At 39.4% G+C, this 25,692-nt stretch overlaps 1 long non-coding RNA gene across 1 annotated transcript in view; it reads right to left on the bottom strand.

Moving 5' to 3' along the window:
• Nucleotides 1-22,151, bottom strand: part of RMEL3 (enriched in melanoma 3) — a 140,307-nt gene extending 118,156 nt beyond the window's left edge. The window contains exon 1 of the long non-coding RNA NR_186596.1: nucleotides 22,080-22,151. This is a non-coding gene — a long non-coding RNA (enriched in melanoma 3). The remainder of the gene's footprint in view (nucleotides 1-22,079) is intronic.
• Between the last annotated feature and the right edge of the window lie 3,541 nt (nucleotides 22,152-25,692).

The following is a 25,692-nucleotide window of genomic DNA, read 5'->3' as shown; positions in this document are numbered from 1 at the left end:
CCCCTCCCTACAACTCCTCTGTGAAAGCAAAGTTCACCCTGACATCAGTCATCACTTGGTGTGAATGTATTAGGGGCAAGGGGCTATGAAATCTGTGTCTCAGGAATGACCCAGGCCAGGGAACCTAAGCTCTCATCATCTTCTCCCAGCCACAGCCTCAGGCCTTGAACCCTTCACTGTCTTAAATTGTTCTCCTGTCAGACTGTTTTCCCCATCTTCCTATCATTCATTCATTCATCCATCGAATGCTTAGAGAGCATTTGCCCCATGCCAGGTACCATGCAAAGCTTGGGGGATGCGGTGGAGACCCAGTGTCCACCCTGCCTTCAGGCGAGGGCAAGCATTCCCCTCTCCATTCTTTTGCACAAGCACATTTATGTGGCTGTGGTCTAGGATCCCTTTTCAACATGTTTCTCTCTGCTGCCTGCCACTGTCCCTAGCCAGGCTTCCCCCACCTCCCCTGCATATCCTGCCTCCTTCACATACAGTTGTCGTGCTGTGAAACTGTTAAAGGGCTTCTGCTAGCAAGCATCAAGGACACAGCCTTAATAATCATGTTCTTTAAATCAAATCAGCATCAAGGACATAGTATTGAAGAGCCTTATGCATTAGAATCTCTTCCCTCGAGAAACTTTGCTGTTTGAAATCATATCAGGACCTGCAAAACCAAAATAAACCAGCTTTAACCTAAGACAGATGGAATGCTGAGTGTGTTAAAGCAGCTCTGTCTTGGTCTAGGAGTCCATCAGTTTCCTTGTCACCACTTCTGTTAATCAGAACCATCTGTGCTTCCCTAGTAACATGTATTAGCTCTGCTCAAGCATAGCTGGGGGAACTGTTCCCAAATGCAGGGCTCACTTGACTGGCAAGTTTAATAAATTAATGTTTGTTTTCCAGAACTCAGGTCTGTTATCTTATCAACAGTGCTTAATCTCAGTGTTTCCATGGAATGGAGTCCCTCAAGTCTTTCATGGTTGGATGACCAAGATGAAATAACTAGACGTGCTACTAAGAGATTTTTCAGGTGAGGGAAGGAGGACCCAGACAAAGAGATGAAAGGAGGTTGGTGAAGAGTCTCCACGCTAGACCTGAACATGATACAATTCTATTTCCAGTAAATGTGACCAACAATCCTGTCAAGCTCCCATCTCCTATGGGATGAGAAGCTCCTGAAATAATATCTTAGACTACCTCATAACTTTTCAGTTACATACTGTCATGAAGATAGATTTATTTCATTATTTAAGACTCAACCCAGTTCATTTTAAAACTGCAGGCTTGGCTAGAGATAGTGTCTGCAGTGGCTCATACCTGTGATCCCAGTACTTTGGGAGGTCGAGGCAGGTGGATCACTTGAGGTCAAGGAGTTCAAGACCAGCCTGGCCAACATGGTGAAACCTGTCTCTACTAAAAATACAAAAAAATAGCTGGGCATGGTGGTGGGCACATGTAATCCCAGCTACTCAGGAGACTGAGGCAGGAGAATCACTTAAACCCGGGAGGTGGAGGCTGCAGTGAGCTGAGATGGCACCACTGCACTCCAGCCTGGGTGACAAAGTGAGACTCCATCTCAAAAAAAAAAAACACTTCAGCCTTGTCTTTGAGTAAAAGCTATGAGGGTGTATAGTGGAGAAAGTGTATAGTGGAGAGTGTATAGTGAAGGAAGTATGTCTTATGAAGGGAGACATGGCATGTCCTTATCCCTCAACTGACTCAAGATCATGGCTTCATGCTCTCCCTCCTGCTTCCATGGTCAGGAAAAAACTAAGGCCTGAATAGTTAAAATCAAGATCCTTGCTCTTTACCTGGTCTAAGTGCTTCTGGAATACATGCATGCTGTGAGAGGAAGGGGAAAGAGAGAGATTTCATGCACATTTCATTTGTGTATGTCCACTTTAAAGGGAACACGGTCTCAAGAAAAACTCAAGATTCACTGTTTGTAGGTGTCAACGAATTAACATTTTCTAGGTAAAAGTAATGCCACTGGCAATCATTTATGGGTATTTGCCAAATGTCTGTTAGGCAAACCTCTAACACATCAGATCCATTCTCTCAGTAAATCTATCTGATTCAACAAAAACTGTGTCCACATACACGGAGTGTGCAATTGTTCATATCATTGTCTGCTTGTGACATTAAAAGCATAAAGCAAACCATGAGTTCAGCCTTATATATTATGTAAATAAGATTGGATTTATTCAGTATGACTGAGGGTACTAAAAATAACATAGCGTTTGTCACTGGAATCTGCAGGCAGGCAGCTCAGAATGTTCACTCACAAGTAAAGGCACAACAATGAGACATGCCACTAGTACCAATCCAAATCAGAAGTGTTCACTCATGAGAAATATTTTCATGATGAAACAAAAGAAAGAGCAGCTAAGAAAATTTGACTTCTGCTTAACAAGCAATCCAAAAAGCCCTGCTCAAAAGATGTTTAATAGTGGAATCTTTTTTATTCTGGTGGGTTATTCAATTCTGAGCTAAAAGTGCACCTTGAATGATGGATTAATAGCTATGAAGGACATGAGTCTAGATTGACATAGAAATGAGTAAGGCAGACAGAATATGAACAGATATACAAACACATATACACACCAGGATGTTGGGAAACGGGCCTGGAAGAGGCCAGAAGACAGGGAAGATAGCACTAGACTGATTTCTTTTGAAGAATTACGGGGAAAAGGAAGCGCTGATGGAGTAAAAAGGAAAAAACCCTGCCATGGAGGCTATATTTGACCTTGGTTCTTGGTTCCCTTCACCAGTAGGTTAAATCAGTGTGGAGCTTTTTAAAAACGTCAGGCTGCTGAGTGATCTCTTGCTTTAAGGCTTCTGTTGCCATGGGAACAGTCATCCTCTATTATCTGAAAGGTGGTTAATAACTGGATATGAGAGTAATCAGATTCTGTCCCAAACCTGAATTAAGCTCACTTCTGTCTGTGATACTGCCACCCTGGGTGTTATTACTGAAAATTCAGAATATGTTGGGAACTAACATCCAGAAAAAGATACTAGGTCTATTCCAAGAATTGATTCAGATTCCTTGGTGTGGGTCTGTGAGATATGACGACAAAATCATGATGCATGTGTTTGAGTGCGAGTGCGTGTTTCAGCAAACAAACCAGAACTTGCATAAAGAGAAGCACTCTGTGTCTTGCAAAGAAAACGAGGGGTATGTGCTTAGTCCAACGCTGCTATCACTGTTGGAAACTTTTCTAGAGCTCTTCTTTTTGATACTATCTTCATAGCCCCTTTAAAAGCCACTCTGGGAAATCCATTTCCTAACCTTGTAGACATGTCTTATGCAGTGAATACATAATTTTATGCCAGTGCCAATGGCCACTGTGATTCCAGAGCAAGAAGGAGTGAAATATTTTTATTTAAACTAGGAGCAGAAGCCACAAACCATCCTTAAAAATTACATCTATGGCCACGTACAGTGGCTCACGCCTGTAATCCCCAGCACTTTGGGAGGCCAACGTGGGCAGATCATAAGGTCAGGAGATCGAGACCATTCTGGCCAACATGGAGAAACCCCGTCTCTACTAAAATACAAAAAATTAGCCAGGTATGGTGGCACGCGCCTGTAGTCCCAGCTCCTCAGGAGCCTGAGGCAGGGGAATCACTGGAACCCAGGTCTCCAGAAGTTGCAGTGAGCCAAGATCGTGCCACTACACTCCAGCCTGATGACAGAGGAAGACTCCATTTCAAAAAAAAAAAAAAAAGATTACATCTACACAGACCTATTGGGATAGCTATTACTCAAAAACTAGAAAATAATGAGTGCTGGGGAGGATGTGGGAAAATTGGAAAGCTTGTGCATTGTTGGTGACAACCCAAATGGTGCAGCCACTGTGGAAAAAGGTGTAGAGTTTCATTAAAAAACTAAACACTGAATCACCATATAATCCAGCAATTCTACTTCTAGATATATATTCAACACATTGAAAGCAGAGACTTAAACAAATATTTGTCCACCAAAGTTCACAGCAGCATTATTCACGATAGCTAAAATGTGGAAACAACCCAAATGACCATTGACAGATGAATGGATAAACAAAATGTGTTATATGTATATATTGGAATATTACTCAGCCTCAAAAAGGAATGGAATTCTAATACAATTCTACAACATGGATAAACCTTGAGGACATTATGCTAAGCCAAACACATAAATTAAGCCCAACAAAAGGACAAATATTGTATGATTCCACTAATATGAGGTACCCGAAATAGTCAAATAATTCATAGAGAGAGAAAGTAGAATGGTGATTGCCAGACACTAGGGTGAGTAGGGAATGGGAATTATTATTTAATTGTTATAGACCTTCAGCTTTGGAAAGTGAAAAGGTTCTGGGGATGGATACTGATGTTGATTGCACAACAATGTGAATGTACTTAATGCCAAGGGATTGCACACTTAAAAATGGGTAAAAGGGTAAACTTCATGTTATGTATATTTTACCACAATAAAAAAATTTCTATAAAGTCAAAGCCAGAAGTATCTTAATTATCTTCAAACCTGCCAATTCTCAGTCAATTTCTCACCTTCACAGCTGATACACACAGAAGTTCTCCAGGACCAACTCAAACATTTGAAAATAAAATAGTTTTCCTGGCACCCTAGGCCAGATCCTGGTTTGCACTAATAGAAGAGAAAAGCAACCTCACAGTAACAAGACTCAGTCCTACGTGGCATTGCCAGATTTAGCAAATAAAAACATACAACACCCACTTAAATTTGAAATTTAGATAAGCAACAAGTAATTTTTTGTATATGTATGTCCTAAATGTTGCATGAGACAGAGTTACACTAAAAATTTTTGTTGTTTTGCTAAAGTTCACATTTAAGTGGGCATCTTGTATTTTATCTGACAACACTAATCCTAAATGAAATTGCTTCTGGCCAACAGCATCATCTCTTACCTTTAAACACTGACTCAAAGTCTGCCGCTGCCTGAGTCAGCTGCACTCGGGCATAAACCACACACACTGTTATCAGACCTTCTAGTGCAGAGAGCAGAAAATAAAGCACAGATCTGGTCACAGCCGTTTTCTCCCATTATGCAATAGTCAATATATGTCCAAAATCTGCCACTTCAGCCCTTGTCCTCAGCCTTGGGGTTAAGTTATATTCCGTCCTACCCATTAGCTCAGCTCTCCATGAGGTCTGGAGCCTAGACTAGCCTGGTGGATTGCATCAATCCTCCCTAATTTCTCATTGAATTTAGAAATATCACACTGAAAAGCTGTTTACCACATCATTTCAAGCTCTCTTATATAAATATGTTCATGATGATTTCCAGTGACAGGAAGGCCATTTTAAAGCTATCACCACCAAGTTTTTCTGTAAATACACCCCCTGCGTTATTAAACAATTAGTATAATTGTCAAGTATATGTCATGAAAAGGTCATTACAGTCTTCATTTTATATCTAAGAAACAGAACAGTCACTGGCTTTCTCAGTCAATAGTTCACTCTAAATCCATCACTTACTTCTCTCCACCTGCCTTTCCAACCCCCTGGGATGCTTCTTTTCTTAAAATCTGGTGCCATAATTGGGCATGTGTGTGTTTCCTGCCTTGATACCACTTGTTTGTTTTCTTGGGTCTGATAATCCCTATTGTTACATCTGTAAAAAGGAAATATTCAAAAACATATGAACGACACTAATATGGAATTGGTCACGAGGATGGTTTGTCCTTCACTGTGTCACTCCTGGGATAGCTCAAGGGACACACATAACCCTTTCTACAGAGCCTATTCCATTCTAGTTCCTCAGAGCAGAAATATGCAACTCAATCCAGCAAGTACCCATAGGGCTCCCATTATGCAGAAGGCACCACTAACTGAAGCCAAGGAGCCAAATTATTAAGACATTGTCACTGCCCACTAGGCACTTATAAACTCAGGATGTTTGCCCTTAAGCTTATGACCACACCTTTTACATTTTCCCCCACTGCTTTCTATTCTTCCACCTACTCCTTTAAATCCAGGCATTTTGCTGGGATCTAAGCTTGGTCTGCCTCTGTTTTGTCCTCCATTCTGTTCCATGGTTCAACTTTTATGTTTATGTTGTGTCTGCCAAATTCTCTTACTCTGTCCTAGGCCCAGATTTTCCAAATTCCCTTTGGACATCTCTATCTGGATATTTGTTCCAAGCTCAACACACTTCAAACCCAACACATATTCTTCCTCCCCAATTCTTGCTTCTGTACTCCTATGTCAATGGTATCACTATATTCCAAAGAGAGGAAACTGAAACTCTTCCTCCTCACCCCTCCACACAAGCAATTACAATACCCAGCCAGCTCCACTCCTGCAATGGCCCTCAGCTCTGCCCCTGCTCCCTCCCACTAGCCATGCCTTGGCTTTTTTCCTCATCCTCGCACATGCGTGCCACAGTTATTGTGGAACTGTCTCCCTAACCTCCAAACTCTCCCTTCTCAAATCCATCTTTCTGGCTGCTACCAGACTTATCCTACAATCACTAGTTAAATCACACTACCCTCCCACTCGAAAACCCTGAGTGTCTCCACATTGCCTGAAAAAAAAAAAAAGTCCTTAGAATAATATTCAGGGCTCTGCCATCTGGCCTCAACCTCATTTCTAACTCTCTCACTTCATTGCCCCAAATTTCCTATATGTAAGCCACATAAAAAATTGCTCATCTGGCTCTTTGATGAAGGTGTCTCCTCCTTGTAAATTGCCCCCTCTCCTGGAAAGAGCCCAGTTGCTTGAATCAACATATCTTAATTCAAATGCACTTGTGTCATATTGGTCAAATTATCTTTACCTGAGTTTCCTTACCTTTAAGATGGGGATGATAATTACATGTACCATGGAGTTTTTGTAAGGTTTAAGAGATAATACATTTAAATGAGCTTAGCACAATGCCTAATGTGCACATTTTAGTTCCTGTCATTGTTATTTTTTTAAATTTACCTGTGTTTATCAACTACTATTCATTCTTTAAGGCCCCAATAAAATGCCACCTCCCCACAGAAACTTCCTCAATTGCCTTAGTCAAAAACCATCATTAGCTCCTCCTTCCACCTCTCATCAATAAGTGTGTCACTCAAGATAGCACGTTTTTCACATGACTTTGCATTCTAATTCATTATTTATAGGTACATCCTCCCAACTCTTCCCCAACCCCTACCCCCACCCCACTCACAAGCTCATGAGTGGCAGCCTCCTGTTAATGTAAGGCCTTTTGGGGATCCAGCGAAACTCTTTCAATTTAGTACCAGAGGATCAAAAGAAAGTCCTCGATTTTCAAACCTAAACCCCTGCTGACAACACTTCTCTCAATTGTACCTGAGGCTACAGAAAACCTTTTCATTTTCTGTTTTTACTCCAGTTGCTATAGTAAATGGCTAGTTCTCCCTCATTTTCCTGCTCTTAGAATTGGTCCTTAATTATAAGCTCTTACCTAACAATTGTTTTCAAAAAAAAATTTAACAATTATTTTTTCATTCACTAGAAATCATAGCTTTCTCTTCAACTTTTGCTTAAAATCTACGAGAACCACTCCATGGTGACAAAAAAAAAAGATTTGAGAAGTTTTGGAATAATATCAATAAACAAAAGATGACCAACTACAAATTATACATTTGGGTGTGTGAGAGCTCCCAAATTTATCATCAAGTACACCTCATCGAAGAAATACAATTTTTCCAAAGAGGTTCATGGTCTAGAGGTAAAATATTTTCTATGTCAAAAACTGCAAATTTTGTTCATTTTTCATTAAGGTATAATGGTCTGCCAAATTAATAAAATTTGGATGGACTTGCTCAAAATTTCACATTCCAATTAGAGAGTAGGCCAAAGCTCATAGAAATTTTACCCAAGCAAAAACTTGTAGTTTCACATCCAGACCCTGCACTTCATGTTCTCGACTTTGCAAAGGAAATCCTAAGGAAGATGAGCACAAATTAAGCCTCCCAGTTTCACCGAGAGGCTTGTTTTCCTTCTCAAGCATTTTCAAATTCAAAATAACCTTAATTTACAGAAAGTTGAAAATCATTCTGTTTATTCTACACATTTGGGGGATGTGTATACAAATATTTACTGGACATAAAACTTCAATGTCTTACTACAAACCATCTGACTTCAGAAAACTGAATACATACAGCAATAATTAACAACAGATGAAAATTTTACATGCTCAGAGTTCCATACCTTGAACTTGGGCATACCCTTCAGGGTAGGTACTCATTAGAGCAACAGGGCTTTTGAGAAGCAGGTTTTCATTACTAAATTCTGTTTCTAGAGCACCACTCAGACACAGAGGAAAATATTATTCTGTGAAATGAAGTGTGGTTAAAAATAGAAAGCGAATTAGTAGCCAAACTTTGAGATTTCCTGAGTTGAACTTTAATCCTGTCCAAGAAGTGGTTATTGTGAAATCTTTCTTTTTAGCTACAACAAATGAATAACTAAATGAAATTCACCAGTAGAAGCACCACAGCATGGAAGTTATGAAGCTCTCCACACTTCCTAGGAAGAGAAGTTTGAGTTTGAGCTTCAACTTTATATGGTGGTGTTTCTCAGATTTCATATTTTAAACCATCTAGGTAATCTATATCTACCAATGATTCACAGAATCACAGAATTCTGGAATGCAACCATTTCATTTTACAGATGAAGAAAAGTAGCAATGTGCCCACAGTAAAATTTCTAATCATTTACAATGTTGGGATAGGAACTCAGACTACCTGACCTTTCCCCAGTATTCCTTTCATTCCAAAACTAGGCATGCCACAGCCCTTCTGCCAAAATCGCAAGACTGTGGGTTGCAGGGCCCTAGAGGACAAGATAATAAAGAAGCCAGAGTATGCGCAGCAAGTTGCCCACACCCCGTTGCTAAGCAGGCCCTGAAATCACCAAGAAAGAGACCACTTCCATCCTACATCCACTCGGAGCATGTGCCCTCAACCCAAATACTCGTGACAGGTGTCTGGAGTGGGAATGGCCAGAGCCCACCATTATGAACCCCAGAGTGGATGTGGGCAGCTACTAGAATTCTTTCTAGGTCCATGCTAGCTGAGAAAACCCCAGCTGCCACCAGATGAAGGAAAGATAGTTGCTGCAGGCTGGAGCTACCAGCTTCTCCCTGGTCAAGATTTCAGCCTTCCTTGTGGAAACGAATCCTCCTCTATTAGTCCACTAGGGCTGCCATAACAAAGTACCACATACTGAGTGACTTAAATAACAGACATTTATTTTCTCATGATTCTGGAGGCCGAGAGTCCAAGATCAAAGAGATGATTTCTTCTGAGGCCTCTGCCCTGGGCTTTTAGGTGGCCATCTTCTCTCTGTGTCTTCAAATGGTGTCCTCTGTACATCTCTGTGTCTTAATTTCCTCTTCTTAAAAGAACACAAACAGTATTGGATTAAGGGCCACCTGAATGACTTTATTTTAATTCAGTTACCTCTTTAAAGACCCCATCTCCAAATATAGTCACATTCATAGGGACCAGGAGTTAGAGCTGCAATATATGAATTGGGGGATAAAATAGTTCAGCCCGTAACACCTCCTGAACATATCCAAGAACCAACCAGAAAAATCCACTGGCTTTCTTCCTTCCTACAGCTCTTGCTTCTACTAACTGCAGCAGATGCAGACTCATGCTGGTGCTGACCACCCAGCCAGGCCTTAAAATTACACCATCTGCCAGACTGGCTTCCCCGGTTTGGGCATACTCCTCTTTCTCTCTCTCTCTCTCTCTCACTCACGCCACTCTCTCGCTCTCTCTCTCTCTCACACACACACACATGCACACACATATACACACAAACATACACACACACATACACAGTATATTTTTGACTCTCTTGCGGGTCTATGTAGATCAGACTCTTCAATTCTGTTAATATAATCATAGAAAATGTCCTAAATTCTGAAAGAACCATAAGAACTTCTAAAAAGCCCTATAGAGATCCACTGGGGAAGAAGCTCTGTCAATCCCATTTAACCCACTGTGGTAGGCAGAATTTTAAAGATGTCCTCCCAAGATTCTCATCTCTGATTATTCAATCGAATATGAATCTAAATACTACTGTGAAGGTGTGTTGCAGACAGAATTAAGGTTACCCATGAGCTGACTTTAAAAAGGGAGATTATTCTGGATGACCTAGGTAGGCATAATTATGATCACATGAGCCCTTAGAAGCAGAAGAGGAAGGCAAAAGAGTCCTTCAGAGAGGTGCTGCAGGATGGAGGAGACCTAAGAAGAGGCTGGAGGGATGCAGAGTGTGAGAGGCACTCCACCCACCATTTCTGGCTTTGAAGATGGAGGAAGGGGCCATGAGCCAAAGAATCCAGGTGGCCTCTAGAAGCTGACAAAGACCCCTGGCTAAGATCCAGCAAGAAAGTGAGGACCTCAGTCCTGCAAACACATGAAACTGAATTTGGCCAACAACCTCAATGAGCTTAGAAGTGAACTCTTCCCTAGAGCCCCCAGAAAGGAACGCAGCCTGGCCTTTTTGTGAGCCCTGAAGCAGAGAAATCAGCCTAGCCAACCTACGGTTCTGACTTACAGAAGTATGAGATGATAAATCTGTGTTGTTTTAAACTCTTCTTAAGTTTGTGATGATTTGTTACAGTAGTGATAAAAACTATTACACTCATCCTGTTATTAAATGTAATTTCCCTCCATTTTTCTCTTTCAGGGGTAAACTTCTTCTTACATCACCTAAGCATTCTGAGTGGTAGGTATTATTATTATTTACCATTAATTAGGGGTCCACATTAAACTAAAAGTTATGCAGATTCTATAAATGACCCCTCAGAATCAGTAGTTTACACCCTCAAACAGGACACTACACATATATCTTCATATATCCACAGTTGTTTCTCTGCCCTGAATTCTGCCAATGACTGCTAGGAGTTGACTGTACCCTTTGGATATCAAAGATTCCTCCAGAGACCTCTGTCCTGTAGATAAATCTTGAATCTGATCCCAGAAAGAACTGCTCTAATCTGCTTCATTGCTATTTGTAATGTTCACTGTTGTGACCTCACATAGTACTTGGAAATAATAATGGCATGATGTTTTTTAAAGCACTGTTTTGAAATAAATGAAGTGAAATTTCAGAAAAAAACCCACACCATCAAGGGGATAAAAATAGCAATAAGAAAAAGGAACAACCCAAGCTCTAGGCAAGAATCTCCTGAGAGAACAATAGAAAAACACAACTCTGTTTTGGCACAAAAGTCCCAGGAGAGATATTGTTCCAACCCACCTCTAGGGCATGGCCACCCCTTCAGCTCTTCCCAACACAGAACCCATATTTGTAACTACAAGCTAGGATTTCTTTGGTCAGCGCAAAGAGGCCTTAAAATCTGTAGCAAACTCCCATGATTCTAACCACAATCTCTCCCAAAAGTTGCCTCCAAGTGTCAGATCCCTGTCACTGGTTGCCTGCTAGACATTTCTTTCCAAGTCTCTCATGAGCACCTCAGACACCACTAGAACATGAAAACTCATTGTCTTCCTCTCCAAAGCACACCATTTCTCAACTTTCTCTTTCTTTTGGGCTACCATTTATTGGACATCTGCCTTGTACCTGGCACTGCACTCATATGTTACATACAACATTCATTTAAACTCACAAAGCTTTTACAAATGTGGAAAGTGTATTTCAGAGAGCTTAAATTGTTTCTTAAGATTAGGGCCAATTTTGCTGGGAATCATCCCTGTCTCCTCTAAAAAGAAGCAGCTTTCTTGCCCTTGTGGGTGCTAAGCTCTGATCTTCTGGTCCTGTACTGCTGGTAGCCATCTTGCCTGCCACGTGCAGAAGAAATGAAACACTGAGAGAAATGAGTTAAAATATGAGGGAAGGTGAAATGATGGAGAATAGAGTGTGGAAGACGGAACACAATCGGTCAACATCCTTTGAGTGTTTGGATCAAGTACCTGTGGCCACTTCTGTTCTGTATTTTCTAGTTTTGGAGCAAGCAAATTCCCTTTTTGTGCTCAGCCCTCATTGAGTTAGGCTTTGTCACTTGCAACCCAAAGTTTTGACTAGTATGTCCCTCTGTTCAAGAAAATCACTGCTACCTTTTATTCTCTTTTTCTTTTCATTTTGGTGTTTATGAAACTATGATTAATGAAGTAATGCAGCTACACTGTGGTTTTTAATTAGAATTAATTAGAATTGTGGTTCATAATTAGAATATATCTAACATATTAAATCACTTGCATGGTGTTTCCAGGGGTTTTATAAGTTCCTTGGTTTGGTTGTTTGTCTTTTGGTTGTTTTTTGTGTGTGTTAAGTTACCCAAAATTTTATTGGCTACTAAAAAGTATCAATTTATCTGACAGAACAAATAATATAGTTCATTTAAAAAATTAAAATTCCCATTGGGATTTACTCCAATCTGTGATATAACTGAAGTTTTTCACAAGATGGTATTTTTCCTCAACAATTTTAGTTCTGTAACGAAGTCACATTTCAATATTTAAATTAGATCTAGAGATTTTTAACAAATATTGAATAATATTTTTAATTGTTTACTATTTTTCAAGCTATTATTTTTAAATAGAAAAAAATTCTTTTTTGAAAAAAAGAATAACGGTCACTAGATACAGGAGTAGATGAGCCCACATCTAAGGTAATGTCAAGTGAGTAGTCAGGATTTGTTTTTGAAAAAACTTAAAATACATTTTATAAGTGAGGTATAGTTTTCTAGTTTATGAAAACATAAAATTCCATTTAGTTAGAAATAGTCCTCCCAAGTGAAAATCAGTATAACCTTTTTCAAGGTCACTTTGGCAGCACCTACAAACAGGTCACATGCCTTCCCTCAGCAATTCTTCTCTAGGAATCTGCCCCTAGGATACCAGAACAGTTACAGCAGCACTGCACACAAGAGAAAAAACTGACCACGTATAAATATCTTCATAAGATTAAAGATATTTATATGCACAACAAAATACTATACAGCTATTAAAAGGAGGTATTAATTGGAAAGATATACACTATGTATTAGTTTAACAAGAGCAAATTACAGAGCCATGTATACAGCATTAGACTATAAAACATACGAATATTACAAAGCGACTTTAACACCTTTTGACCTTGACCCTTGTCATCCACTCTGGCATTGTGCAGTCCCTCCTGATCTTTTCAAAGACCATTTATTCATCTTCTCTCCTCCCCACCTCCCCTGCCCCATCCCTTATGAAACTCTCCAGTGTCTCTTCCCACTGCTCTAAATATGTAGACCCAAGTCCAACTCATGGTCACCATGGATCCTCTCCTGTTCCTGGATTTCACACAATCCTCCTTCACCACCTCACCTTTGTGCATGTATTTCCGTCTGCCCTCCTCCTCACACCCTAGACCTCTGTCCCTGCCTCTTTCCCTTATCAATTTCTACACATCTCTGTTGGATAGTTCCTATTTCCTCCCCAGATCTGCTCGCCACCCTTCCCCATTCTACTCTCTGCCCCAAGAAGCAAACCTGGTGGGGCCTGTCTCCCTTGCCCACTGGCTTCCCATTAGGTTCAGCCAATAGGAAGCCCAGCAGGAGCTAGCGGGGGACAGAGGTATTTATTTCCTCAGCTCCTTTCCCTGCTAGGCCACTTCAGGATTTCTGGTCCTTCAACCAAAGATTCCAGCTCCTCTCCATATGGCTCTCTCCTTCTGGGTTCTGAAGTGGCTCCCTCATCCTTTCAGCCCAAGGAATGTGATGATCCCAGTGTTACTATCTTTAGGTGCTTCACTATCCCACATGACTCTCCTCCTCCCACCTCATCTCTGTAAAGGGTGCCTGAATTAAACTCTCTTCAAATATTATCATCTGTGTGAGCTAGGACAGGGGCATCATCTCAGCTTAACTGTCACTTGTTTGGTGATGGGATCCACAGACTAGGTTGCCCTGTATAACATGGCACCCTGACTATGGATTTATAGCACCCATCAGAGTTTGCAATTATATTGATTTCTGTAATTAATTTTTTCTCTCTCTCTCTTACTCTCGCTGTCGTTCTCTTTCTCTTTTCTCCACCACTAGACTGTAAACTCCTTGAGGGCAAAAACAATGTCTTTTTATTCTCCCTTGTAGCTACAGTAATTAGCTCAGTGTTTCCCACATTGTAATGAATAGTATTTGCTATTGGTCCTAGAATTAAATTCCGTATTGCTCTATTATTGCATATATCCTTGTAGTGTCCTTTTCCCTCAGAAAGAATCAAAGCACTGATTGTCATCTGCTTCATTGTCCTGCATGCAGACATGATTAACAAATGCTTGTCGCACTAAATTGAAGGCCTACAGGAAGCCATGTATGCATTTAACCGGATGGTCTTTGACAATATTCACTTTGGCTCTGATTTTGGAAAAATATCAAAGATCAAATACATTCTAAAAATAGTGAACAAACTGTTTGGGGGGGAAATACACTACTCTCAGAGTTACATTTATTTTCTTTTATGATATGAAATTCTTTTTATCTTTTGTCAAAACATATGGACTAAATTAAATTGAAAAGATTATATTCCCTTACTATGCAGTTTCATAATGTCTTTCTTCAAAATTGAAAACTCTCAGTTGTTTTAAATGTTATTTTGCTAAGGATTTCTTCCCCTAAACTGACTAAAGAAAATGGAAGTGAAATAACGTGGATGTAATTATACCCTGAAAGAAATTGTAGCAACTGATGTGGAAAGATGAAAATGCCAAAGACAAGGACTTGCAATGAATGACAGGTGGAAGTTTTGAAAGCGTATGATCTTTTTACTGTTCTGCTCTCTAGTGTAATGCCTTAAAAGAGCATAGCAAAGCAGATCATTATAAAGGCAAGTAGTATAAGGTAGATCATTTCAAAGGGCATCTTTGCAAAGCAGCTTACATGTTCCCACTAGAACCATATTATAATTTAAGATTGAGTCCTCTACTGTAAGACTCTACTGTAAGGTACACACATAGTGGAAATAGTCACATAAGTGATTCCAATGGATGAGTATACAGATTAGAAAAAAATAGTAAAACTGGTAGAATCATTAATTTGGCCCAAACAAATATATAGCTGAAATAATAAATAGTAATGAAACATTTATTTACCATCATTTTGTTTATCTTTCCCCTTAGAATTTAGAAGAGCTCATGCATGATTTGTATAGTTCATGTATCCAAAAAACAAATTAAAACTTTCCAAGAGATGTAAATACAAATGCCTGTTTCTTATTTGTATGTTTGCAGGCAGAGATTAAAATTTTATCCATTGACATTTCAACTCTATTCAAAGCAGCAACCATTCTTTTCATGATAACCATTGCAAAATCTAAATATTTGCAGTCACATTAAGAACCTTAGTTGCGGGCCAGGTGTGGTGGCTCATGCCTGTAATCCCAACACTTTGGGAGGCCAAGGCAGGTGGATCGCTCAAGTCCAGGAGTTCAAGACCATACTGGGTAACACGGCAAGACCCCTTCTATTCAAAAAATACAAAAAAAAAAAAAAAAAAGGAGTCAGACGTGGTGGCACATGCTTGTGGTCCCAGCTACTTGGGAGGCTGAGGTGGGAGGAACACTTGAGCCCAGGAGGCAGAGGTTGCAGTGGGCCAAGATCACACTACTGCACTTCAGCCTGGACAACACAGTAAGACCCTGTCAAAAAAAAAAAAAACCTTAATTGTTACTACCCAAGGGAATCTACAGATTCAATACAATCCCTATTAAAATATCAATGACATTCTTCACAGAAATTTTTGTAAAAGTTTTAACTTGTATGGAACCAACAAAAGACCCCAAATATCCAAAGCAATCCTAAGCAAAAGAACAAAGCTGGAAGCATCACACTACTTGACTCCAAAATATACTACAAAGCTGGAGTAACAAAAACAGCATGGTACTGGCATAGAAACAGAACATAGACCAATGAAACAGAGTGGAGAACCCAGAAATTAATCACATATTTACAGCCAAGTGACTTTTCTAAAGGTGCTAAGAACACTTATTGGGGAGTGGACAGTCTCTTCAATAGATAATGCTATAGATAATGCTAGAAAAACTGAATATCCATATGCAGAAGAATGAAACTAGACCCACACCTCTCACTCTGTATAAAAATCAAATCAAAGTCAAACAAAGACATAAGTGTAAGACCTGAAACTTTAAAACCACTAGAAGGGCCGGGAGCAGTGGCTCACGCCTGTAATCCCAGCACTTTAGGAGGCCGAGGTGGGTGGATCATTTGAGGTCAGGAGTTTGAGACCAGCCTGACCAACACGGTGAAACCTCATCTCTACTAAAACTGCAAAAATTAGCAGGGCGTGGTGGTGCATGCCTGTAATCCCAGCTACTTGGGAGGCTGAGGCAGGAGAATCGCTTGAACTCAGGAGGCAGAGGTTTCAGTGATCCAAGATCATACCAATGCACTCCAGCCTGGGCAACAAAAGTGAAACTCCGTATTAAAAAAATAAAAAAATAAAAACTACTAGAAGGAAACATAGGGGAAACACTTTAGGACATTGGTGTGAAAAAAGATTTAAAGTCTAAGACCTCAAAGGCACAGGCAACAAAAGCAAAAATAAACAAAAGGAAGTATATCAAACTAAAAAGCTTCTGCATAACAAAAAAAGAAACAATCAACAGAATAAAATGCAACCTACAGGATGGAAGAAAGCATTTGCAAACTATTCACCTAACAGGGGATCCCTATCCAGAATATACAAGGAACTCAACCATCTCAACAGCAAAAATAAACAATCCAGTTAAAATATGGGCAAATGATCTGGACAGACATTTCTCAAATATATAACAATGGTCAAAAATATATGGAAAAATGCTCAGTATCACCAATTATCAGAGATAAATGAAAATCAAAACTATAATGAGGTACCATCCCACCCCAGTTACAATGGCTGTTATCAAAAAGAGAAAAAATAAATGCTGGTGAGGACGCAGAGAAGAGGGAACTCATACACTGTTGGTGGGAGTGTAAACTAGTAAAGCCAGTATGGAGGTTCCTCAAAAAAATAAAAATAAAAATAGGACTACCACATGATCCAGCAATCCCATTACTGGGCATTTATCCAAAGGAAAGAAGATCAGTGTATCAAAGAGACATCTGAGCCTATATTTATTGCAGCACTATAGCCAAAATATGTAATCAACCTATGCATATAACAACAGATGAATAGATTTTAAAATGTGGTGTATATATACAATGGAATACTATTCAGTCATGAAAAATAATGAAATCCTGTCATTCACAGCAACATGGATGGAACTGGGGGACATTATATTAAGTGAAATCATCCAGGAACAGAAAGTTGAACATCACATGTTCTCACCTGTATGTGGGAGCTAAAAAAAAAAATTATCTCAAAGAAGTGAAAAGTAGAACAGAGAATCCTAGAGGTTAGGAAGGGTAGGGGGAAGGGAAGGATGAGAAGAGATTTGTTAAAGGACACAAAATAATAGCTAGATAACAGGAATAGATTCTAGTGTTCTATACCACAGTTGAATGACTACAGTTAACAATAAAATACTATATAGTTTCAAATAGCTAGAAGGAGGATATTGAGCATTCCCAAAACAAAGAAATGATAAATGTTGGAGATGATGGATATGCTAATTACTCTGATCTGATCACTATACATTACATGTATCAAAAAATCACTATGTACCCCATGAATATGTACAATTATTATATGTCCATTAAAAAAATAAAAGAAAGGAACTTTAGTTGTATGAGTAGATTCATGGAACTTGTATTCATTTATTCTTTTACTTCCATAATATGGTAGAATCTCAGATGTAAGAGGAAAAGGAGCAAGACGGTTAACTGCCAAAAAGACCTGTAAGTGGAAGTAAGAGAAAAGATTTGGGAGTCAGTTCCATGTCAAATGATGCACTCCAGTTTCTTCTGCTTCATCTGATTTGGATCACAAAGCTGACAAAGGGCAGGCCTGAGGTGGAGAAGCTAGCTCATCTGTGCCCTGGTCATAAATCCTTTGTGTTCTTAGAGGTTTCATCACCATCCATGTTTGGCAGCATTTCTCTCATCAGAAAAAAAATGAAATGTCAACGGAGGATATAGATGGATGCGTATTTTTTTTAAAAATGTCATCGTAGTAGAGGTTATGTCCTAGATTTTCTACTACTATAAGTTCTCGGAAAACTTGACATTTCTGTGAATTAACACCAAAAAAGCACGTTCTCTTCAGCATCAATTTCCCAGAAAATGCACCTGATTAGGGCTCAGGGTGGAACTTCAGAAACGGAGTTGGAAATTCGTGCCTTCAAACACGCTTGCTAATTTAGGTCTTCTCCCACAGTCACAAGACGGCTGGGGTGACAAGACCCATCCCTCAGAGGATTCCATGTAACCTTCACTCTGAGGCCTGGAGGTCTCTGTCTCACATCACCAACTGCTTTTTAATTTCCTCCACATTATAAACTAAATGCCAAGTCGTGACAATACATTTCCTAATGGGAAAATAGAGACTTCACAGGCGCTAGAAAAGAACGAAGGACATGAGCTGTCTTTAAAAAGAGCAAATTGACTAATGGCTTAATAAATAGGCTTTCTCTACTGAGTGAAGCAAAAATAAGTTGAATGACAATGCCACGTTAAAAAGAGATTATAATGGAACTAACCCTCGACCCATAACTATAGCAGGTTAGATCAGGAGATGGCTGTCATGAGCAGGAGTCTGCAGGAATTAATGACTCTTAAATGACTTCTGGCTTGGCATTTTCATAGTATGCTCAAAACCATCTGCATTGTAAACCAGGACTTGTGTCCCTGAGCAAGACATTCAATCTCTCTGAGCCTCCATTCCTTACTTGTAAAATAAAATGGACTTCTGTGCACAAAAGAACAATTTGAGGAGCCGGGCACAATGGCTCACACCTGTAATCCCAGCACTTTGGGAGGCTGAGGCAGGCAGATCATTTGAGCCCAGGAGCTCGAGACCAGCATAGGCAACAAAGCGAGACCCTTTTTCTACAAAAAAATCAACAAGTTAGCAAGGAGTGGTGGCATGCGCCTGCGGTCTGAGCTACACAGGAGGCTGAGATAGGAGAACCGCTTGAGCCCAGGAGGTCGAGGTTGCAGTGAGCCATAATCGCATAACTGCACTCCAGCCTGGGTGATGGAGTGAGACCTTGTTTCAAATAATAATAATAATAATAACTTCGGGAGTTTGTTTAAAATGTAAGCTATCAGGTCTCATTCCCAGAGATTTTGATCAGTAGGTCTTGAGCAGGAATCTTATTTTCTAGATATACTTTCCAAATTTCATTCCACAACATAAGATGTGCATGAGGTTTTGTTTGTTTTTTTAAAACTTTTTCATTTTTATGGGTACATCGTAGGTCTATGTATTTATGGGGTCCATGGAGAGGTTTTGTTTTTAATTTTTAAAATTCTACCTCTATAATTCTTCCTTAATTTTTAAATATTATGGAATGTAGTATAAACATTTTCTGTTGACAAAGTATGCAAAAGTTAGCTGTAGATTTGGGCAACATACATAAAAAGAGAAAAAATACAAATGCCTTTTAACTTAATATGGAAGTAGTCCCTGCTTATCTGCAGGGGAAACACCTCAAGACCCCCAGTGGATTCCTGAAACCACAGGCAGTACTAAACCTTATATAGACTATGTTTCTTCATATATATACATACCCATGATAAAGTCTAATTTATAAATTAGACACAGTAAGAAATAACTAATAATAAAATAAAACAATTATAACAATATACTATAATAAAAGTTATGTGAATGTCATCTCTCTTTCTCTCTCTCTTTCTCTCTCTCAAAATATCTTATGTGCTATACTCACCTACTGTCAGACTGCAGTTGACTGAGGACAATTAACACTTCAAAATGAAAACCTCCAATAAGGGGAGACTATTATAATTTTAAGTCAAATATTCCAAGAAAATAATCCCAAGAGCACACAGAAGTTTTGTACAAAGATGCTCATGAGCAAGTCATTTTAGTGGTTAAAATAAAATAAAATAAAACTCTGAACTTCTGAAACTTGACCTCTGATCAAACTGCCAGGCTAGACCTTCCCCAACGCAAACTCCAAATGAAGCACATCTGCCTCATTATGTGGTATTGTAGGTAGAAAACTATTGAAAAAAATAAATAAATAAGCACCCTCAAAGTGACAAAAACAGAGCAACGGTTAAGTAAGTGATGGTACATTCATAAAATACAATATTATAAAGTAGTTAAAATTGTCAGTATGGATACATTGCAATAGTATATTATTCATATATAAGTTCCATTAAAGCTAAGTTACATGAAAAAAATAGTGCAAACATTATATACACACACACATACACATTGCCACACCCACACATCCTCCCTACCCACTATAAACCTACAGAACAGCACGGGAGAACAAAGCCACAGGCTGCCCACAGAGTGATCCTTTCTTTTCTTTTTTGCCATACTTGATCTGAAACAAATAAAGTTATTTTTCCAAAGAAGTGGTGCAGTGAAAGGGTCCACCCACCTGTTTTAATAGGTTTCTAATTATTTAAGTGTGATAAGGCCAAGAAACGACATCACTGAAAAGATAGAGGTCACACAAGAAACCAGGACCCCCTCAGGAGGCAGAGGGAGGGGGATCTGTGGATGAACGCCTTTTTTGTGGCTTACAGGGAAGGAATTTGCGAGGCAGGGTCAAAAGGCATAGGATGGACTAATTGGAATAATTTCAGTGGGCTCTGGGGCACAGGGGCTGTCCCTGCTTGTGTGATACTGGTCCTGGGGTGATCGGTGTGGGTGGACAGTAGCCAGCGGAGGTAGTCGAAGCGTGGGCCAGTCGCCTGTCTAGGCAGGGAAACTGGCCTCTAGACAGGGCCTCAAAACTGGGTCAAGACAGCATTTAGAAAACAATATTATAACACCTGAAAGAGGTTGCAAAATAAAAGTCATTACTTGAAATTCTCTAACACTATGGGTTGGGGAGGGGCGCACCCAGAGACTACAGCTGTGATACTATTTTATATATATGTTTTCATCCAAGGTTTCTGGCTCGTAACTCCCATAGCGCTTGTGACAGTGTTTTGTTGTAATGTTGGAGCACTTTAGATCCCAGAAGCAGGCCTGAGAAAATACAATCTCTCTCTGACCGTCTCCTGCCCTCCTTTCACCTGCTCCCTTTTTTTCCCAAGGCAGGCCTTAGGAACTAAAAATATACTCTAATTGTTCCCTACCTTTCTGTCTTGCACTGGCCAAAAAGAAATTCCCTGACCTACCTTGTCTGATTGCAGGTCATAAGACCCCATTTCAGAAGAGGTCCTGCCCCATTCCCAGGAGGAAGGAATGCTGCACAGAGAGGCCAAAAAGAATCTGAACAGACAGGCCTTGCTGGGTTTAGAGCATACTCTTCTTATCCAATCACATTTTGACACAGTTGTCTCTGCTTCAATTATGGACAATCAATGCAGCCTCCAAAAGAGGCCCAAAGGACAGGGTTCGAGGGCTTCCGGGGCGCTGAACACATGGAGGCTGGCAGGAAGGCGAAGAACTCACCCACCTGCTAGAGCAGGGGCACGTATCCCAACTCCACAAGGACAGCAGCTCCTGCACTCAGGACCATTCCAGACCTCACCCTATGCATGTTTTCATGTGGCTATTTATTTGCATCCTTTCAGATATCCGTCATAATAAACTGGTAAGCATAAGTGTTTCCCTGACTTCTGTAAGTCACTCCAGCAAATTAATTAAACTCAAAGAGGAGGTCATGGAAACCCCAACTTGAAGCCAGTCAGTCAGAAGTTCAGAAGGCCTGGACTTACGACTGGTAAGAAGGAAAGAGTGGTCTTGTGGGACTGAGCCCTCAACCTGTGGGATCTGATGGTATCTCCCAGTAGACAGTGTCAGATTTGAATTGGAGGACGCCCAGCTGGTGCCTGCTGCAGAAGCGATTGCTTGCTTGGTGTATAAGGGAACCCCCACCACCACATTTGGTCACAGAAGTCTTCTGTGTTAATTGTTGGGGTGTGAGAGAAAAGGAAAAACAGAGTTTACTCACACTCAACAGCAATACTTAAAATCTTTCCATTTATTTTCTTACCCACTTCTCTCACCTACCGGATCGGCTGTTCTCAAAATAACCTGAGAAACATCTCCAAACCTCTGGTTAGTTTCTTCTCCCCAGTTGCTTCCTTCATTTGTCCCCAGAAAGGCTGAGAACAAGTCTGGGAGAGTAAGATCCTCCTGACGGGGGCAAATGAGGGAAGAGACTGACCCTTGAAAGCTAAATAAACTCTGCCAATTGTACCAATGCCAATGTCTGGGTTTTGATAATGTTCTATAGTCACGCAAAATGTTACCATTAGAGGAAACTGGGTGAAGGATACACAGGACTTCCCCATATATTTTTGGTAATTTTCTGTGAAACTATAATTATTTCAAAATAAAAATGTAAAACTGAGACATAATAATAATAAATGAAATTTAAAGATAAAAGTTTTTTAAAATCTTAACCTATCCCAGACCTTTTTTTTTTTTTTTCATCAACTCAGCCGTTTAAGGAAGATAAGTAACAAAAAGTGTATTCAATACTCCAGGGGTCTTTCAGAAGGTGTTGAAGTCATTCTCCTGGAAGATATGAAAACTGAATGTGTTCTCTTGTGTGTGGGGTATGACTGAGGTATTATGATCCTGGCTAGGCAGACAGGAGGACTAATTCATCCCTCAGGGTGTCCTTTCTCCATACAATGTTCCTCTCAAGGGAAACTAAACAAATCTTTACTGAGAACAGAAGGAACTTGGAGGGTTATTGCCAGTCTAAAGGGGCTTTCCTTTCCCCACCTCAATCCATCCATATACATGCTGAGTACTTAACAAATTGAGAAATAAGATTAAAAAATACACTGGGGCAATTAAAATGTAAACTTATCACTGCTAAGGCCGATATTGGAAGATGTTGCTTATATTGCAATCCTGGGGCCTCGTAATACTGATCCTCTGCAGGCCTCCCCACATAGACTGCATGCTCTCTGGGGTGAGTTCACACCCAAGAGAAAAAAAGAAGGGAAAAGGCTGATATACAAGTGTCCAGTTTATCCTTCCCAGGTCAACAAGCAGATTTAAGTCATTCTTCCTCCCCTGAGTGAGTGAGTGAGTGGCCAGGTGTGTTACAGTGGAATGCCAATCACATGACAGCAATCAGAGTGAAGGAAACTCCCCCATCACTACTGTATCCATTTCCTAGGGCTGCCATAACAAATTACCACAAACTGGGTGGCTTAAAGAACAGGAAGTTACTCTCTTACAGGTCTAGAAACTGGAAGTCCAAAATCAAGGTATCAGCAGAGCCATGCTCCCTCCGGAAATTCTAGGGTAGGATTCTTTCTTGCCTTTTCCTAGCTTCTGGAGACTCCTGGCAATCATTGGTGTTCCTTGGCTTGTAGCTGCATCACTCCAGTCTCTGCCTCCACTATCACACGGACTTCTTCCTTCTGTGTGTGTCTGTGTGATCACTTGGCCTTCTTATAAGGGCACCAGTCATTGGATTAGGGCGCACCTTAATCCAGTACAAATTCATCTTAACCAATTACATCTGCAAAGATCTTATTTCCAAATATGGCCACATACTGTGATTCTCAGTGGCCATGAATTCTAAGGAAACACTATTCAAGCAGTCACCGGCCACCAGAAAGAACAAGTAGGTTTATTATCCTTTAGAAACATGTTTTTTTCTAAAGGGTATAGCAAACAAAAGTCTACCGTCATAAATCTTTTCTCTCTTGAAGCATCTTTATATGGGAACTCTGATTTAAAAGAACATGACCAAGGTATTTACACTATCCATGAAGCAGTATTGTGTTCTTTGAAAGTGGGCTTGGATTCATTGTAAATGTATATTTCAAACTCTACGGCAAATACTGAAAAAAGTATAAAGATAAAAGAAAAGAAGCAGAATAACCAAAATGCTCAGAAATGGGGAAACATGAAATCATATAAGATGCTCAAGTAAAACCACAAAAGGCAGGAAAAGAGTGAAAGACAAAACTAGGAACAAAGAAAAGGACAACAAATAGAAAACAGAAACAAATATGGGAGATTTTAACCCAACTAGATCTATAATCACTTTAAATATCAATAGTCTAAATTCACCAATTAAAAGACAGAGATTGTCAATATGGATCAAAAAAGAAGATCAACCCATATGTTATTTATAAGAAATTCCTTTAAATGTAAATATGCATATAGATTAAAAGTAAAGGGATACATTGATGTTCTTGTACAGAATGACTATTGTAAAAAAAAAGAACAAGAAAAAGTAAAGGGATAGAGAAAGATACATCATGCTAACACTAATCAAAAGGAAGTGGAAGTAGCTACAGTAATTACAGACAGAGGAGAGCAAGGAAGTCATCAGGGCTAAAAAGGAGCATTACCTAATAATAAATAGCTCAATTCTCCAAGAAGACATAACAGTCCCTAATGTGTATGTGCCTAACAACAAGCACCAAACTATGTATGGCAATAACTTGCAGAATTGTAAGGAAAAATAGATGAACCCAGTATTATAGACTTTTGCACTCCTCTATCAGAAATGGACAGATCCAGCAGGCAGAAAATTAGTTAGTGAGGACATAGTCAAATTCAACAACATCATGAATCAACTAGAATAATGGGCATCTATAAACTAATTTATCCAACAACAGCAGAATACACATTCTTCTTAAGCTCACATGGAACATTCATCAAGATAGATAACATTATGGGCCGTAAAACACAACATAACAAATTTAAAAGAAGAGAAATCAGACAACATTTGCTCTCAGACCACAATGAAATTGAACTAGAAATAAGTAACAAAGTGATAACAGGAAAATCCTAAAACCCATGGAGATTAAACAACATACTTCTAAACAAACATAGGTCAGAGAAAAAATCCCCCAAAAAATTGTTTAATATTTTGAAGTAAATACAAATAAAAACACAGTTTATCAAAATTTGTGGAATACAGCAAAAGCTGTGATTAGAGGGAAATTTATAGCATTGAAGGTATACATTAGAAAGGAAATCTTTCTGATTTAAATTAACAACCTAAGCTTCCACCTTAAGAAACTAGAAAAAGTAGAGCAAGTTAAATCCAAAGTAAGCAGGAAAAAAGAAATAATGAAAATGAGGGCATATTAAAAACAAAAAATTAATAAAGAAAAATAAATGAAACCAAAAGCTGATTTTTTGAAAAGATAAATAAAATTGATAACCCTCTAGCAAATTCAAATTCAAAAGAGGATACAAATTATTAACATTAGAAGTGAAAGAGGCAACATTACTACAGACATTATGGATATTAAGAGGATAATAAAGGAATTCTATGAACAACACCCTGCTCACAAATTTGATAATCTTGATTAAATGAACCAATTCCTTGAAAGACACAATCTGCCAAAACTCGTACAAGAAGAAAGGGACAGTCTGAAAAGATCATCCTATTAAAGAAGTTGAATTAATAATGACTTTCCAAAACAGGAAGCAACAGGCCTACATGGGGTCACTGGTGAATGCTACCAAATATTTAAGGAAAAATTATACCAATTCTCTACAATCTCTTTAAGAAGATAGAAGCAGAGGAAGTACTTCTAAGAAGGTATAAGCAGAGGAAATACTTCTTAACTCATTCTGTCAAGCCAGTATCACCCTAATGCCAAAATCAAAGACATTACGAGAAGAGAAAACTGAA

The sequence above is a fragment of the Homo sapiens genome, chromosome 5 (assembly GCF_000001405.40).
Source record: "Homo sapiens chromosome 5, GRCh38.p14 Primary Assembly".
In the NCBI taxonomy this organism is placed as follows: Eukaryota; Metazoa; Chordata; class Mammalia; order Primates; family Hominidae; genus Homo; species Homo sapiens.
Note: the sequence above shows the minus strand (reverse complement) of the source record. Positions and strands in the feature narration are given on the sequence as shown.